General features: G+C 43.8%; 1 protein-coding gene across 4 annotated transcripts in view; it reads right to left on the bottom strand.

Moving 5' to 3' along the window:
• Positions 1-8,991: 8,991 nt before the first annotated feature.
• YIPF1 (Yip1 domain family member 1) overlaps positions 8,992-15,490 on the bottom strand; it is a 38,065-nt gene continuing 31,566 nt past the window's right edge. For 2 of the 4 annotated variants that reach the window (NR_036640.2, NR_036639.2), the window contains 2 exons: positions 12,260-12,310; positions 8,992-9,529 (listed from right to left, as the gene is read on the bottom strand). The gene's annotated coding sequence lies outside the window, so the exon portion shown is untranslated. The remainder of the gene's footprint in view (positions 9,530-12,259; positions 12,311-15,490) is intronic. The other 2 variants (NR_135075.2, NM_018982.5) reach the window with 1 other exon arrangement.

Raw genomic sequence — 15,490 nt, forward strand, 5'->3', positions numbered from 1 at the left:
AACCCTTCTTTCTCCCAATCTGTAACCTGTTTCAAATTCAGTCCTTCCAAGAGAAAGGCTGCTAACTCATGATAAAATGTGATGAGCTGGCCAGGCACAGTGGCTCATGCCTGTAATCCCAGCACTTTGGGAGGCTGAGGTGGGCGGATAACCTGAGGTCGAGAGTTCAAGACCATCCTGACCAATATGGAGAAACCCCATCTCTACTAAAAATACAAAATTAGCCAGGCATGGTGGCGCATGCCTGTAATCCTGGCTACTCGGGAGGCTGAGGCAGAAGAATTGCTTGAACCCGGGAGGCAGAGGTTTCAGTGAGCCAAGATTGCACTCCAGCCTGGACAACAAGAGTGAAACTCTATCTTAAAATAAAATAAAATAAAATAAAATGTGATTAGCTATTTGCAAAGACAAAATAAAAGACATTCACTTTGAAAGACAGCTCCTTGGACATACAAAGTCTCTTGTACAACAGTATTTTTGTGGTGAGTCAAACAAAAAATAAATTTAAGACATATAGATGATATTTACCTGTGGGGTGTGGAGAACACAAATCCCAGAATAACTCTGAACTATCTATTATTATTATTATTTTATTGCCAAACTCCAAGCCTCTGGGAAGAATTCAAAAGGCATAGCAACGTGGAAAGAAAAGTCAGGCTCCTCCTTCTTCCTTTGATGCCCCCTCTCTGGAGCCTGGCTGCACTCCTGGTTGGCAGTTTGGTGGGCTGTCCTCTGCTGCCTGCTTCTTCGGGGTGAAATCTCAAAGTAAAGGCTGATGCAGAGAGAAGGAGATCCAGGAGGGGAAACTCACATCATATTGCACAGTGTGTAATCTACGCTTTCTAATGTTTTTTCTCCTAGTTTTTTTTAAAGGTTTTTTAAAAGTTTTTTTCTGCCTAGTTTGTTAAAAAGACTGACTTAACCCTCTGCCTGTGACACAGAGACAGTAAAATAAAATCTGTGGGTGAAGGTAAGGCTCCGTAGTGCCTCATTTCCAAGGATATGAGGAAGAGGCAGGATCAAAGGCTTTTCACGTAAATACATATGCGAGGCAATAGGTAAAGGCTTTAGAGTCAGACAAATGGGGATGAGTCCTGGCTCCGTGCTTCATGGCAGGGTGGTTAGCTTGAGCAAGTAACTCAACCTCTTAGTGCTTCAGTTTTCTCAACTGTAAAAAGGGGGATAGTAGTGTGCACTGTTCTGCACTGTTTTGTTGTTGTTGTTGTTGTTGTTGTTGTTTTTGAGACAGAGTCTCACTCTGTCGCCCAGGCTGGAGGGCAATAATGGCATGCGATCTTGGCTCACTGCAACCTCTGCCTCCCGGGTTCAAGCAATTCTCCTGCTTCAGCCTTCCAAGTAGCTGGGATTACAGGTGTGGTGTGCACTGTTCCTTATTTCTATGGACTTTTATTTCTATGGACTTTTATTTCTGTGGACCTATCTAAATTGAGCCCCCACCCTTCAAATAATGTGACAGTCATTAATACTCCAGGCACATGATAGGATTTCACTTCGTGGCCCCCTTTGAAGTTAGGTATGGCCACGTAACAGTTCTAGCCAATAAATTGTGAGAAATAACATATATCATTTAACGGTGGAATTTAATTGCCATTATGAGACTCTCCAGAGCTCTCTTTCCTCTGGCACACTGACCAACAATATTTTAGATGTTTGTTACTCCATCACCCCAGATGCCTGAGTGACCACAGTGAACAGAGTCTCCTGCCAGCCTGTGATTAACTTACAACATGACCAAGAAATAAAACTTTGATTTAAGCTGCTTTAAACTATAACTTACCATTCTTGATTTTTTAAATTTATTTTTATTTATTTATTTATTTATTTATTTATTTATTTTGAGATGGAGTCTCGCTCTGTCGCCCAGGCTGGAGTGCAGTGGCGCGATCTCGGCTCACTGCAAGCTCCGCCTCCCGGGTTCACACTTTTCTCCTGCCTCAGCCTCCTAAGTAGCTGGGACTACAGGTGCCCACCACCACATCCAGCTAATTTTTTTTCTATTTTTAGTAGAGACGGGGTTTCAGTGTGTTAGCCAGGATGGTCTCGATCTCCTGACCTTGTGATCCGCCCACCTTGGCCTCCCGAAGTGCTGGGATTACAGGCGCGAGCCACCGCACCCGGCCAGTTCTTGATTATTTTAGAAGAGCCTAACCTATCCCCAAAGATACCAGTAGTAAATCAATAAATGCAGTTACCTGAAGAGGACTTGAAAAGTCCTTGAAAAACTTTGTTTTATGCATCACCTTATTAATTCACCCCACCAGCATTTACCAAGCAATGAGTACCGGCCAGGCACTTTGCTAGGCTCTGTGGGGGTAGACACAGGAGTGCAGTCCCTGCTGTCAGGACCCTTCTGTCGAGTACACAAGGCCTCCTCCTTAGACACTCACTCTCTTCAACCATACTCCCAACCAGTGCATGCATCTGGTAGAAATGGCTTTATCCGTTTTTAGCTTACAGGCTGTTCTTGGAAAATGGATGAAGCCTCAAAGTACAGGTTTAAGATACTAAAGCCGATCTAACAGACCCTTCATCCCCTCACCAACACATCATGACATCATGTTTATTTTTTTCTGCCTTCATACCTCTGCTTAATCTGGACTCTCTGCATCTTCAAATTCCATGTCTTCCATGAAGTATTTCCTGTTGAATTCCTCCTCTTCTAAAAATCCTGGAATTCTACCCCTTATTGAATACATCCTGCCATCAGTAGCATAGTAGAGAAAGAGCAAACTTTGGAGCCAGACAGTCCTGGACTTAAGTCCTGGCTTTGCCCCTCCCTAAATGAGAAGGCTAGAGACCATGTTTTGGTTGAATGCTTATTATATACTAGACACTCTAAGTCATATCATATAAATTTAATTATCACACTTGCCCTTCAAGACTGATTATATATATATATATATATATATAAATAAAATATTTTAGAGAGTAAGCCAAGCTGAGGTAAAAAGAAGCACGGACTCACACACTCCTATCAATTTTAACATTTCAGCTCTTTTATATAAATAATTTTTCAGAGTGGTATATCTTATTTGCTTGCTTGCTTTTTAAAAAAAATTTACGTGGATCACGAGGTCAGAAGATCAAGACCACCCTGGCTAACACGGTGAAACCCCATCTCTACTAAAAAAAAATACAAAAAATTAGCCGGGCGTGGTGATGGGCACCTGTAGTCTCAGCTACTCAGGAGGCTGAGGCAGGAGAATGGCGTGAACCCAGGAGGCAGAGCTTGCACTGACCCAAGATCACGCTACTGCACTCCAGCCTGGGCAACAGAGCAAGACTCTGTCTCAAAAAAAAAAAAAAAAAAAAAAAAAAAAAAAAAAAAAATTTACAAAGGTTTGTATTTTTGTTCTAATCATTTCCTTTTTTTTTTTTTTTTTTTTTCCTGAGACGGAGTCTTACTCTGTCGCCCAGGCTGGAGTGCAGTGGCACCATCTCGGCTCAGCTGCAACCTCCACCCCCTGGGTTCAAGCAATTCTCCTGCCTCAGCCTGCCAAGTAGCTGGGATTACAGGCACGCACCACCACACCTGGCTAATTTTTGTATTTTTAGTAGAGACAGGGTTTCACCATATTGGCCAGGCTGGTCTTGAACTCCTGACCTTAGGTGATCTGCCTACCTCGGCCTCCCAAAGTGCTGGGATTACAGGTGTGAGCCACTGCACCCGGCCTCATTTCCTATCTATAACATCTTTTATCCCCTCTGTTTGGGAAACAGGTAATGATTGTCTATTGTTTTCCTCTTATGAACAACATAGACGTTATTTAGTAACTTCTTCCTCCTCCCCTTCTTATCCTCCAGCAGGTGATTTGAAGCAAAGTTGTTTTGCTATATCTATAAGGCAACCAGCAGATTTATTCTGCTTTAAACATGCTCTCCCCATTCTCCTTCCTCTTTTTTTAGTTATACTGTAGATTCATTTTAAGGGCACATAACCGTTATAAATTCTATTTTCTCCCTTATAAGCATTATTAAGTTCTACATGTGAACAGGTATTTCGTGCTCACCAACTGCTATGTCAATGTCTTAACAGTCATTTGGGTTGTCTGAAGTACGTTCTCTAGAAGATACCTCGGAAAGGTCTCATGGGAATATTCCCTGTGTTCTTTCACATTGATAACGTCTTGTCTGTGGTCAGTTTGGCTAGATGTAAAATCCTTAGTTCATATTTTCTTTCTTTGGGTATCTATGTTACCACTGTCTTTGGACATAAAACAGTGTCACCAACTGTGTCTCAGTGTTGATCTTCTGTGTTGATTTCCCCAGGTATGAGTGTGCCCATTTTATATGTAGTATTTTTTTCCAGAAAATTTTATAGTTTTTTAAAAATGTATTTTTCTCCATGGCTTTTGTTTCTTCTTTGGACATCTATAATACATCTTTAGATCTTCTCTGCCTATCTTCCATATTGGTCACTTTTTTTTTTTTTTTTTTTTTTTTGAGATGGAGTCCTGCCCTGTAGCCCAGGCTGGAGTGCAATGGTGCGATCTCGGCTCACTGCAACCTCTGCCTCCCAAGTTCTTCTCCTGCCTCAGCCTCCTGAGTAGCTGGGATTACAGGCGCCTACCACCATGCCTGGCTAATTTTTGTATTTTTAGTAGAGACAGGTTTTCGCCACGTTGGCCAGGGTGGTCTTGAACTCCTGACCTCAGGTGATCCACCTGCCTCAGCCACCCAAAGTGCTGGGATTACAGGCATGAGCCACTGCGCCCGACCCATACTGGTCACTTTTTCTTAAGTTCTTTGATTTCTCTTTATTCATTCTGGAATTTCATCTGTTTTCCTCCTTTTTCACTTTTTATTCCCTTAAAGCATTATCTGTTGTGCTCATTCACTCTAATATCCCTTCTATTATAATTCAGCCTTCATTTGTGAGATGAGTTTTCTTTTCTTTCCAATTCTTTCCTCAGTACTATTACCTAATTTCTGCCTTATAATTCTGATTAGTGATTTTCTTTCATATCCTGTACCATTTCTTATTTTAGCTCATTTTAAAACATTAAGTTATGGCTTTTATCTGGTTTTGTGAGCATGACTGTCTGGAATGCTTTCATTACCATTAGGGATGTTATTCTGCTCCTTGTTCTCATTTTTCATATAATAACTTCATTACAAGATTTGACTGCGATCCTTTCTGTTACTCTTTTTTATGTGAAATTAGTTTTCCTGCACATTTAGGAGGAAGAGGTGAGGCAGAATAGCTTTTCCAAATTCAAGGCTTTACAGCTTCCTTTTCTGTTTCCATGACATGTTCAAAAATACAGCTTCATCTTTCTGACATTGCTCTGTTCCCCTCCCCGACTCTCATCTGGACTTCTCTTTTCTTTGCCCCAAATATCCCTGGCCTGCTCCGCTTGCGTTTTGCTCCGTGCAGTTTCTTTTCTGGTGCCTGGTTACTCCAGCTTCTTCAGAACTTGCTGTGGATCCCTTGCATGCATGTGCTGCAAACTGGGTATTACGAAACTCCAGTTCCAGCTGCTGTTCTCCTATTAGCCCATTGCACTTTCCAGGGAGTACCTATTGGCTGTTTTGGGGTGCTCTTATTTTCCAATTTCGCAGATACCCTGTTGCTTTCCTGTGGTTCTTTCCATAAAAATGCTGATACCATGTCAGTCTTGGCGCTGCCAGAAGATTCCCTCTGCTTGAATTTTTGGGTTTGTGGGGATACCTTTTCACCTTTTGTTGTAGATGCCGATTTGTTTTTGATTTTGCTATCCCAGGTGCCCTGTTTCTATGAAAGAATTCAGGGAGCTTCAAAAAGTATGCTAGTGCCACTGCCATTTTCCCAACATTCATTTCTCTCAATTCTTTGTATGATACCAACCAATTAAATCAAACTGATAATGGACAAACCACCACCAACTTTTGTAAAAGGAGGGGCTCCAAGATGTACTAGTTATCTGTCTAAAACCCATTCTGTCTTCCTTCCTTACCGACAGTATTCTGGTTCATTCAGGGTGACAGTGTGCCCAGCTAAAGAGTATTTCCCAGCCTCCCTTGCAGCTAGGGGTAACTGTGGGATACAGTTCTAACCAATAAGACATGAACTTTTTCTCTGGAGAAAGCTCATTACAAGGCAGGCTAACTCCACTGGCCAACCCTCTTTTACCCTTTCCCTTCCTGCTGCCTGTCAAGAGCTGAGTTGAGCTAGAAAAAGCTGAGCTGCCAGGACTTGGAGTACAGTTAAGTGAAAATGAAGTAACAGCAAGCCTTTCATCACTTACTGTGATGGTACAAGCAACAGGCTAACCAGGAGAAAGCGCTGGCTCCCCTCATGTTCCATTTCCCACCATGAACCAGTGCCAGGCAAGGGTCAGGTGGATCAGTGCAAATGTGGGGATGGTCTCACTGCCAATTGATCCCTAAACAAAAGGCTCCTGCCATTTCACAGGGCCTGGGGACTGAGAAGAGGAAGAGGGGGAAGGGTTAGGAGTAGAAAAGTACTGAGCCTTGGAAGTGAAAAAAATATTTTCAAGTTCCCCGGTACCCCATAGATAAATTGGTCTCTGCAGAGGCACCTGAAAAAGGCTATGGCTAGGAGGCCTCCAAATGGAGGAGCCTGGGCATGAAACGCAGATATGCGTAAGAGTATCCTTGACTGTAGTCCCTTCAGAGACACATGGCACTCACTGGGCACCCAGTCTGGTGTGGGCAGGCAGCTTTTCCCAAGAGGCCTGTTGGGTAAGGCCTTTGTCAGGCCTGAAAGATCAGGCACGGGTTTTTGGCCTGGAGGCACACTCCGCACCACCTACCCTTTGCTGGAGGTAACACGGGCATCTTGGGAGTAGATGACAAATTCATGCTAAGGACTGCTGGGCAGAAGAAAAATAAAAAGAGATGGCATCATGGAGCAGCCATGTTAACCTCAGACTATCTCTAAATTTCTATTTACATAGGAAAGACAAAACGGCAAATTTATTTAAGCTAACTGCTTCTCAGGGTTCTTTTACAGCTGAATGTAATTCGTAAGAGCTGCATGGAGGTCCCAAGGGCAGTGGCTCCCAAATGGTGGTGCTGGTTAGTTCACGAAACTTTCACTGGTCTTGGCTAGGTGAGAAAAAATTAACAGTCAGTTTTTCATAAAGCTAAACTTACCAAGTTTTTAGTACTAAGATTATGTCCTTCCAGATTATTTGATATTATAATGTCCTTTCTTCTATAAAGATAATGGTGCTGACAATGCTGGCTGTGTCCAAAATCCTTACTTAAAAATTAAATCCTGGCCACTTTATTATAGAATCTCTAAACATATTTTTGGAAAAATTTACCGGTGATACCGACTTAAAAGTACTTAGTAGCTTGTAGTCCTAGCAACTTGAGAAGCTGAGGTGGGAGGATCCCTTGAGCCAGGGGTTTGAGGCTACAGTGGACTATGATGGCTCCACTGCACTCCAGCCTGGGAGACAGAGCAAGACAAAAAAAAAAAAAAATACTTAGAAGACTCAAGGGACACAAACAGCTGTCTTCAAACATCTGAAGGGAATAAGGCTCACACTTGTTCTGTGAGGCCCAGGGGCAGAGCAAAGACCACGCAGTGATGGCTGCAGAGGCACTTCTGACAGAACAGGCCATTGAAGGACGAAACGCTGCCTGGAGAAAGCCGGATGCCGGCAGCCACTGAGCAGTGATCACTGGACTGTAAGATCCAGGAGAACAGGGAGCTTGTCTGTTTTGTTCACTGTTCTAGCCTCAGTACATACAATAGTACCCAGCACATAGTAGGTGCTCAGAATATATTCGTTGGTTAATTAATGGAGGGATATTCAGCATCTGATGGGAGGTTTGCCAAGGTGATGTTAAGCTCATTGTAGCCTGATTTATGTGTCTTCCTTTACCTGCGTGGTCAACCTTTTAAGTCTAAATGTGTCTTTGTAGCTATCTCAGAAATATATAGGGAATTCTGTCTGGAAGAGGATGATATGGTTTGGCTCTGTGTCCCCACCCAAATCTCATCTTGAATTGTACTCCCATAATTTCCACATGTTGTAGTAGGGACCCGGTGGGAGATAATTTGAATCATGGGGGTGGTTTCCCCCATACTCTTCTCATGGTAGTGAATAAGATCTGATGGTTTTATCAACGATTTCCGCTTTTGCATCCTCCTCATTATCTCTTGCCACCACCATGTAAGAAGTGCCTTTTGCCTCCTGCCATGATTCTGAGACCTCCACAGCCATGTGGAACTGCAAGTCCAATTAAACCTCTTTTTCTTCCCAGTCTTGGGTATGTCTTTATCAGCAGCATGAAAACAGACTAATACAGAGGACAACAGAAACAGTAGGTGATCAGTAATCCTGACCATCAGAAGCTCAGCCTCCCAGATCATATGCATTTTGAACAAACAGTATGTTAAAGCTCTTTGCGGTGTCACTGGTTTCTCTCTTTAATGCACACTAGCCAGGAAGTCAAAGTGCCAGGTACTCCAAGTACCCTAAGAGAATTTTGTGAAATTTGTCAAAATGGGATGTAAATGAACTTTTTTTTTTTTTTTTTTAAGAAAAGGTCTCACTTTGTCACGTAGGCTGGAGTGGCTCACTGCAGCCTCAACCTCCAGGCTCAGCCTCTCGAGGATACTTAACATCACCTTGGCAAACCTCCCACCTTAGCCTCTCAAGTAGCTGGGACTACAGGCATGTGCAACTACACCCAGCTAATTTTTTGTATTTTTTTTTTGTAGAGACTGGGTTTCACCACGTTGCCCAGGCTGGTCTCAACTCTTGGGCTCAAGCAATCCACCCATCTTAGCCTCCCAAAGTGCTGGGATTACAGGTGTGAGCCACAACTTCTGGCCGAATGTGTTCTTTAAAACTGATATTCCATTCTTATAGGAAGAAACATTCAGATGTCCCATTTTAATCCACACATCATAACACCGAGCACATTCAATCAGATTCCCAGCAGCCTCCAGTACAGACAAACCATCAAGGAAAAACTTGAGGTCAAAGTCACAAAATGCAGACACAGACATCATGTGAGGTATTTATTTTGCAGCCATTCAGTTCAGCTGTCCAGTATCAGGTTACCAAAGACAAATTTTCAAGCTCCCGGTTAATCCCCACCAAAGTTTCTACTGTTCGGCTACTTCAGGATGGCTAACATTTGGAGAGAAGAGGATCCCCCAGGTAGTCTGTACATAATTCAGAGAGAGGACATCAGAATTTTCCATGGTTCTATTTCAGGTATTAAGGTACCACAGTGAAGCATGTCATTTGACTGTGGTGGCAAAGGGACGGCACTGAGCATGCCTAACCTATTCCCTGGCATTTCAGTCCAATCAGCGCATGCTCGCAATGATCATCCATGGGTGAAAAGGAAGAGCTGAAAGACACATGTGCTGAGCAACATTTAATTTCTGCTTGTTAAACGGGTGATTAGGCGCCAGTGTGGCACCATCCAGACACTGGGAATTTGTGCCACTCCATCAGTTCTGCTGGCTCTGCTCATTCTGCTTTCCTGCAGTGGATGCCACTTCCCAAAGAACCATGCTCCAAAAAACAAAAGAGAACTGAAAAACAAAACGGGAAACTTTCAAGATAAAGCACCCCCCCACCCCGACAGGAAAGAGCTACATTGTAGAAAAGGATATTCATGTATGTTTAGAGATATAACTCCCAACACCGGAGCAGTCTGCTGCCACCAATTCCCTAAATCTTGAGGCTTGAGTCTAATTTTGATGCTAAAAGTAGAGCTTAGTGTTGGAAGAAAGATGATGCTTTAAAAAGTTTTCTTCTATTTGCTTGGAAACCCAGTGACCCTTTCCAAGCCAGATCCTAAAGCTACCTTTGCCCATCCTTCTCTCTTTCTCTTCTCCGTGACAGCACTGTGTTAAGCACTAGAGGAGAAAAGATAAGAGTGGATATGGAGGGACTTAAAGATCTGGGACCTGGAAAACCGTGGTAATTGAAATGTAAGGTTATACAGGAGATAATGGCAGGATATGAGGCAGGACAAATAAATCAGGGATAGATTGTGGCAATGCAGGGGGTTTCAATTTTGTTATTTGGGCAATAGGGGGCCAAAAAAAAAAAGTTTCTAAGTAGGGAAGTGACATAGTTAAAGGCGTGGTCAGAATTATAAATTTTCAAAGACCCCTGTGGCTGTGTATAGGATGAATTGGAAGGAGAAAAAGAAAAGAAGTGGAGAAAGCCATCATGTTACTGCTGCAGTTCAAATATGAAATGATCGGTCCTGAACACTGGGTATGGTAACAACAGGACAGAGATGAAAAATACTTCAGAGATAGAAAAGACAGGTCTTGCTGACTGATACTATGTGGAAGGTGAGTGGGGGGAATCTACAATCTACCTTGATGCTGAGGTTTCTATCTTGGGTGACTGGATGGATTTCTTAATTAATCCAACAAATATTGAGGACCCATGTGCCAGGTACTGGGGACAGTGATGAACAAGACAGACATGGTCCCAACTGTCAAGGAACCAGTCTACCAAGAGAAGCAACAGGGCAAACAAATACAGAAAATATTATTTATTTAATTATAATCTTAACTTGCCAGGCGAGGGTGTAATAAAGAATCTAACCTACTCTGCAGTCAGGGACAGTATAAATGATGGTGCCATTCCCTGAGACAGGAAAACATGAGGAGGATCTGGTTGTAGTGGGGGATGAGTATAGCTTGGAATGTAATGAATTTGAGGCAACTGTTGGTATACCTACCTGGGGATTTGCAAGACAGGGAAACTTGGAAAGAGGGGCTGGAGATAGAGTTAAATCCAGGGAAGACTAAGGAATATGGTGGAGAATAAGTTCCTAATGCATAGCCTTCCACTTGGGAGAATGAGCTAGGCCTTCCTGGAGACATCAACAGGACAATACCACATTCAGATGTCAGCGTTTGATGATACCACGAAGGTGAGGCTAAGGCAAGGGCTAACTGCCCAAGTCTACTGGCTCAAGAAAAGAGAAACATTGCCAACAAAATATCTGTGAAAAGTGGCTGGAGAAAGCCAGATGCTGTAATTTGCTGGCATGAAAGAACCTAAAGCCCTGATCAGCCTTTTAGTAACCATCAACTTGGGTTCTGAAACGCTAAATAAAGGTAGGGACAAACGGGCCCACAGAGCAAGCACTCAAGATTTTATATTCATAAATATATACTCTGTTTTTCTCTCCTCTTTCTAGCTGTCTGTTCCAAATCAATGTCAAGACTAGGGAAGAATATGAAGACTAGAAAATTCCCTTCTCAGGTAGGCATGGTGACTCATGCCTGTAATCCCAGCACTTTGGGAGGCTGAGGTGGGCAGATCACTTGAGGCCAGGAGTTAGAGGCCAGCCTGGCCAACATGGCAAAACCCCATCTCTACCAAAAATACAGAAAAATTAGCCAGGCATGATGATGCATTCCTGTAATCCCAGCTACTCGGGAGGCTGAGGTATGAGAATCACTTGAACCCGGGAGGTGGAGGTTGCAATGAGCCGAGATTGCACCACTGTCCTCCAGCTTGGGCAACAGAGTGAGACTCTGTCTGAAAAAAAAGAAAAAAAAAAATTCCTTCTCCTGCTGCCAACTTTTAATGGGTGGCCAGAAGCGAAGAGGTTGGGAATTCTTGGCACTTAGGCCAGAGGGAGAAAAGTAAGATGCTGTTGCCCTTTGTGCCAAAGTTGGTCCCTAATGTCACCATCAGCCAGCACTTCCTTACCTCTTGAAGATTGCCTCTACCACCTCTTGGCCTATGACCTGACTCCTGACCATTTTTGGCTCCCCATCTTGGGTGGCTGCACTATCGCATGGGCATTCTCTGTCCCTTTCCTTGCCTCAGCCCTGCAGCCAAACCTTCCAATGTCACCACAGTCTGATCTGGGATGTTCCAATGAGAAGTTCCCATAATCATGTTTCTCTCTTTAATGTAAAAGGGCCTTCTAGTCTGTGTGGCGTATGAGATGTAAAACTGGAGTATAGAATCTGGGAGGGTAAGGACTGATCTCCGTTGTTCACCAGCACAGAGTAGAACTTCAATGAATGAACAAGTAAAGATTTCCCAAGTAACCTGCCACATAAATCCAGGAAAGTTTTGATGCTATATGATTGGCCTAACAACTTGTTCAAATGAAGCTTTCTCCAAGTGTCTGCTGGGTGCTAGGGAGCTATATTGGTAAATAAAGCTCTGCCCTCAAGGAACTCTCAGTCTATGAAGTTACAGTGAATAAGCAAACTGCCATAATAGAAGAACATACGAGAGCTGTAGAAGAGCACAGAAAAGAAAATAAGTAATACTACCTGGAGAAGTCAAGAAAAACTTCAGCAAGGAGAGGGTATCTCAAGTGAGTCCTGAAAAATAAACAGGAAATTGCCAAGTAGACAAGGCTTGTGAAATGAACACTCTTGACAATGTGAGCGAGTGACAGGATAACTGCATACAAACCCTGTGTATCCAATCAGGAGGATTTAATGACAAAGGACTCTCCAGAAGCCCTCTCTGCATCATTAATTAAAGCCCTGATCACACTGCGATATGATTATCTGCTGATGGCCCTCCTCCGGACAGCCCCACCTGTCACTGCCCCTGGAAAGCTCACCCCAATCTGGATGCGGTCTCAAGCCCTCAAGCCAAAGCAGGGCTTCCCAGGTACAGTTTCCAGGCTCTACCAGGGTCTTGGCTCAGAGAAGACATAGCACTGCCCTCATGTGAAAAGTTAATGAAGAAGGAAGGATGGAAGCCAGATATTCTTTATATTATTTCAATAACTTACATAGGGGTAGCATGCTGATTACAAGTACAGTCCCACACTGCATAATGATGTTTCAGTTGACAACAGACCACGTATACAATGGTGGTCCCATGAGATCACACCATATTTTTACTGTACCTTTTCTATGTTTAGGTACACAAATATTTACGATTGGGTTACATCTGCCTGCTGTATTCAGTATAGCAACATGCCACACAGGTTTGTAGCCTAGGAGCAATAGGCTATCCCACATAAGTGTGTTGTAAGCTATACCATCTAGGTTTGTTTAAGTATATTCTATGATATTGGCACAATGATGAAACTGCCTAATGACGCATGTCTCAGAATGCATCCCATCATTAAGCAATGCATGACTGTAACTGGAAGCTCCCCTATGATCCTGAGGTTCCAGGGAGAGAAGGGGTTCTCCCTGGAATGTGTTCTAAGCTAAGCCTTCCAATGCTCTCCTGGGAATGCGCTCTAGGCTAAGTTTTCCAATACACAGATTTACATGGGGAAGGTAGGTTACTGGTGAGATTAGAAGCCTTTATTTTTCAGTGAAAGCTGGGAGTCCAGAGATGACAGTAGAAGGCACAGCCAGCTCGTAAATCAGCAGCATTCAGGGCTCTGGACAGCCTCTCTATCAGCAAAGCAATTGATGCTTCTGCCAGGGAGGCTGCAAAGAAGCTGTTCATCACTACCTCATTTGGAGACTTGACACCCAAATGGAGGCTCTAACAGCCAAGTTCATAGATCTGAGCAAAGCGCAGAGGCGTCAAATCTGTGTACACCAGTCTGCTAAGTCTTCAAGGGCCCTGAGGGGCAGGCTCTTCTCAGATGCTGCTCTGACTCTCTGAAGGCCTTTACAACCAAAATGAAATGAAATAACTTAAGTCCTAGCTCAGGGGCAGGTTGAGAGAGACCCTCAACATGGCGATGTCAGGTACTTTGGGCCAAAAGAGAGACCCAGGAAACTGTTGCCATTGTGTTCTCTACCTCTGTCCCTCTCCAGCTGGGCTCGAATTGTCTCGTTCTCAGTGATGTGAGTCCACATCGTCTTATCATGGTTCCCCTGTACAGCCTAGGTCTTCATCTTCCCAAAAGCCATGGGAAGCAGACTACTTTTTCCAGAACAGCTAACTGACTGTGCTCAACCTTTATGACCCAGTTCAAACAAGAGCCCCTCTCTGAAGCTTCCCTCCAGGCCAACTCCAACTGAGTCCCTCCCTTCTTGGCCCCATAATGCTAAACTGACAACTTGGCTATGGCATTTAAAGCTTTAATAGTTCCTATATGGATTGACAACAGTATATGCAAATACTTCAAATATATACGTATCACAAGTTTGTGCTTGTGACTGAGAATCTAAAATGGCCTCCAGTGATCCCTGCCTGTCTCCAGGCATTCATGCCCTTGTGTAATTGCCTCCCCTAGAAGGTAGGCAAGACCTGTGACTTGCTTCTAGTCAATAGAAGATGGTAAAGGTGATGACCATCTCTCCTATGTTTACATTATATAGGACAGCAACTTCCATCTCACTATCAGACTCGATTGCCTCTCTCTCCCTTTATGGCTTTGATGAAGTGAGTGATCATACAGAGAGGCCCACGTGGCAAGCAACTGAGGGTGGTCTCCAAATGACCGTCAGCAAGAAGGCCCTCATTCTACGAAGCCACAGGAATTGAATCCTGCCAACAACCTTGTGAGTTGGGAGGCAGATCTTTTCCCAGTCTAGACTTCAGGTGAGACACCAGCCCTGGCCAATGTTTTGACTGCAGCCTTGAGAGAGAATCTGAAGTAGAGGAGCAAGCTAAGCTATCCCCACAGTCCTGCCCCACAGAAACTGTGAGAATGTGTATTGTGGTAATACCACTGGGCAGCAATAGATAATTAATACAGCACGCAAACTCTCAGCTGATAAGACATGCAATCAAAGGAGTGTGGAGACTGCTACTAAACACCTCTAGACCCGCAGAGGAAGGCTCCATCAAACAGCCAAAGGCTAGCAGTGAGAACCTGCACGTTTTAGTGGTAAAAAGAACATTTGTCTAAAAAATGGGAAAGTGAAAAACCTCAAAAATTGGCTTCCCAAGACTTAGATATGAGTCCCAGCTCTGCCTCTAAGAGGTAGGTGATCTTAGTCAGCCCAGATTTACTCAGCCCAGCCTTCTCATCTATACATACAATGTGGTCAAGAGGGCCAGTAAGAGTGGCCAATGAGAGAATAAACTAGGAAATGTTTTGTCAGGCCGGGCGCGATGGCTCACACCTATAATCCCAGCACTGTGGGAGGCCAAGGTGGGTGGCTCACAAGGTCAGGAGTTCGAGACCAGCCTGGCCAACATAGTGAAACCCTATCTCTATTAAAAATACAAAACATTAGCCAGGTGTGGTGACGGGCACCTGTAATCTCAGCTACTTGGGAGGCTGAGGCAGGAGAATCTCTTGAACCCGGGAGGCAGAGGTTGCAGTGGGCCAAGATTGCGCCACTGCACTCCAGCCTGGGCGACAGAGTGAGACTCCACCTCAAAAAAAAAAAAAAAAAAAAGTGTTTTGTCAAATGGAATGTGATAGACACATGTTAGTTTGCCCCAGAACTCTGGGGTGGCCTTGGGTAAGGCACTGTCCTCTCTCGGTCTCAGCTTCCTTATTGTAAAATGAGGAGGGAAGCCCATGCTATTTAATGTCTCCAAGGGCTCTGATCTTCTTTGATTCTAACATCGCATACCCATGAGAAGAGAGGAAGAGGCGAAAGTGGTAGACTATGACATTTTACAAT

Source organism: Homo sapiens, chromosome 1 (genome assembly GCF_000001405.40).
Source record: "Homo sapiens chromosome 1, GRCh38.p14 Primary Assembly".
In the NCBI taxonomy this organism is placed as follows: Eukaryota; Metazoa; Chordata; class Mammalia; order Primates; family Hominidae; genus Homo; species Homo sapiens.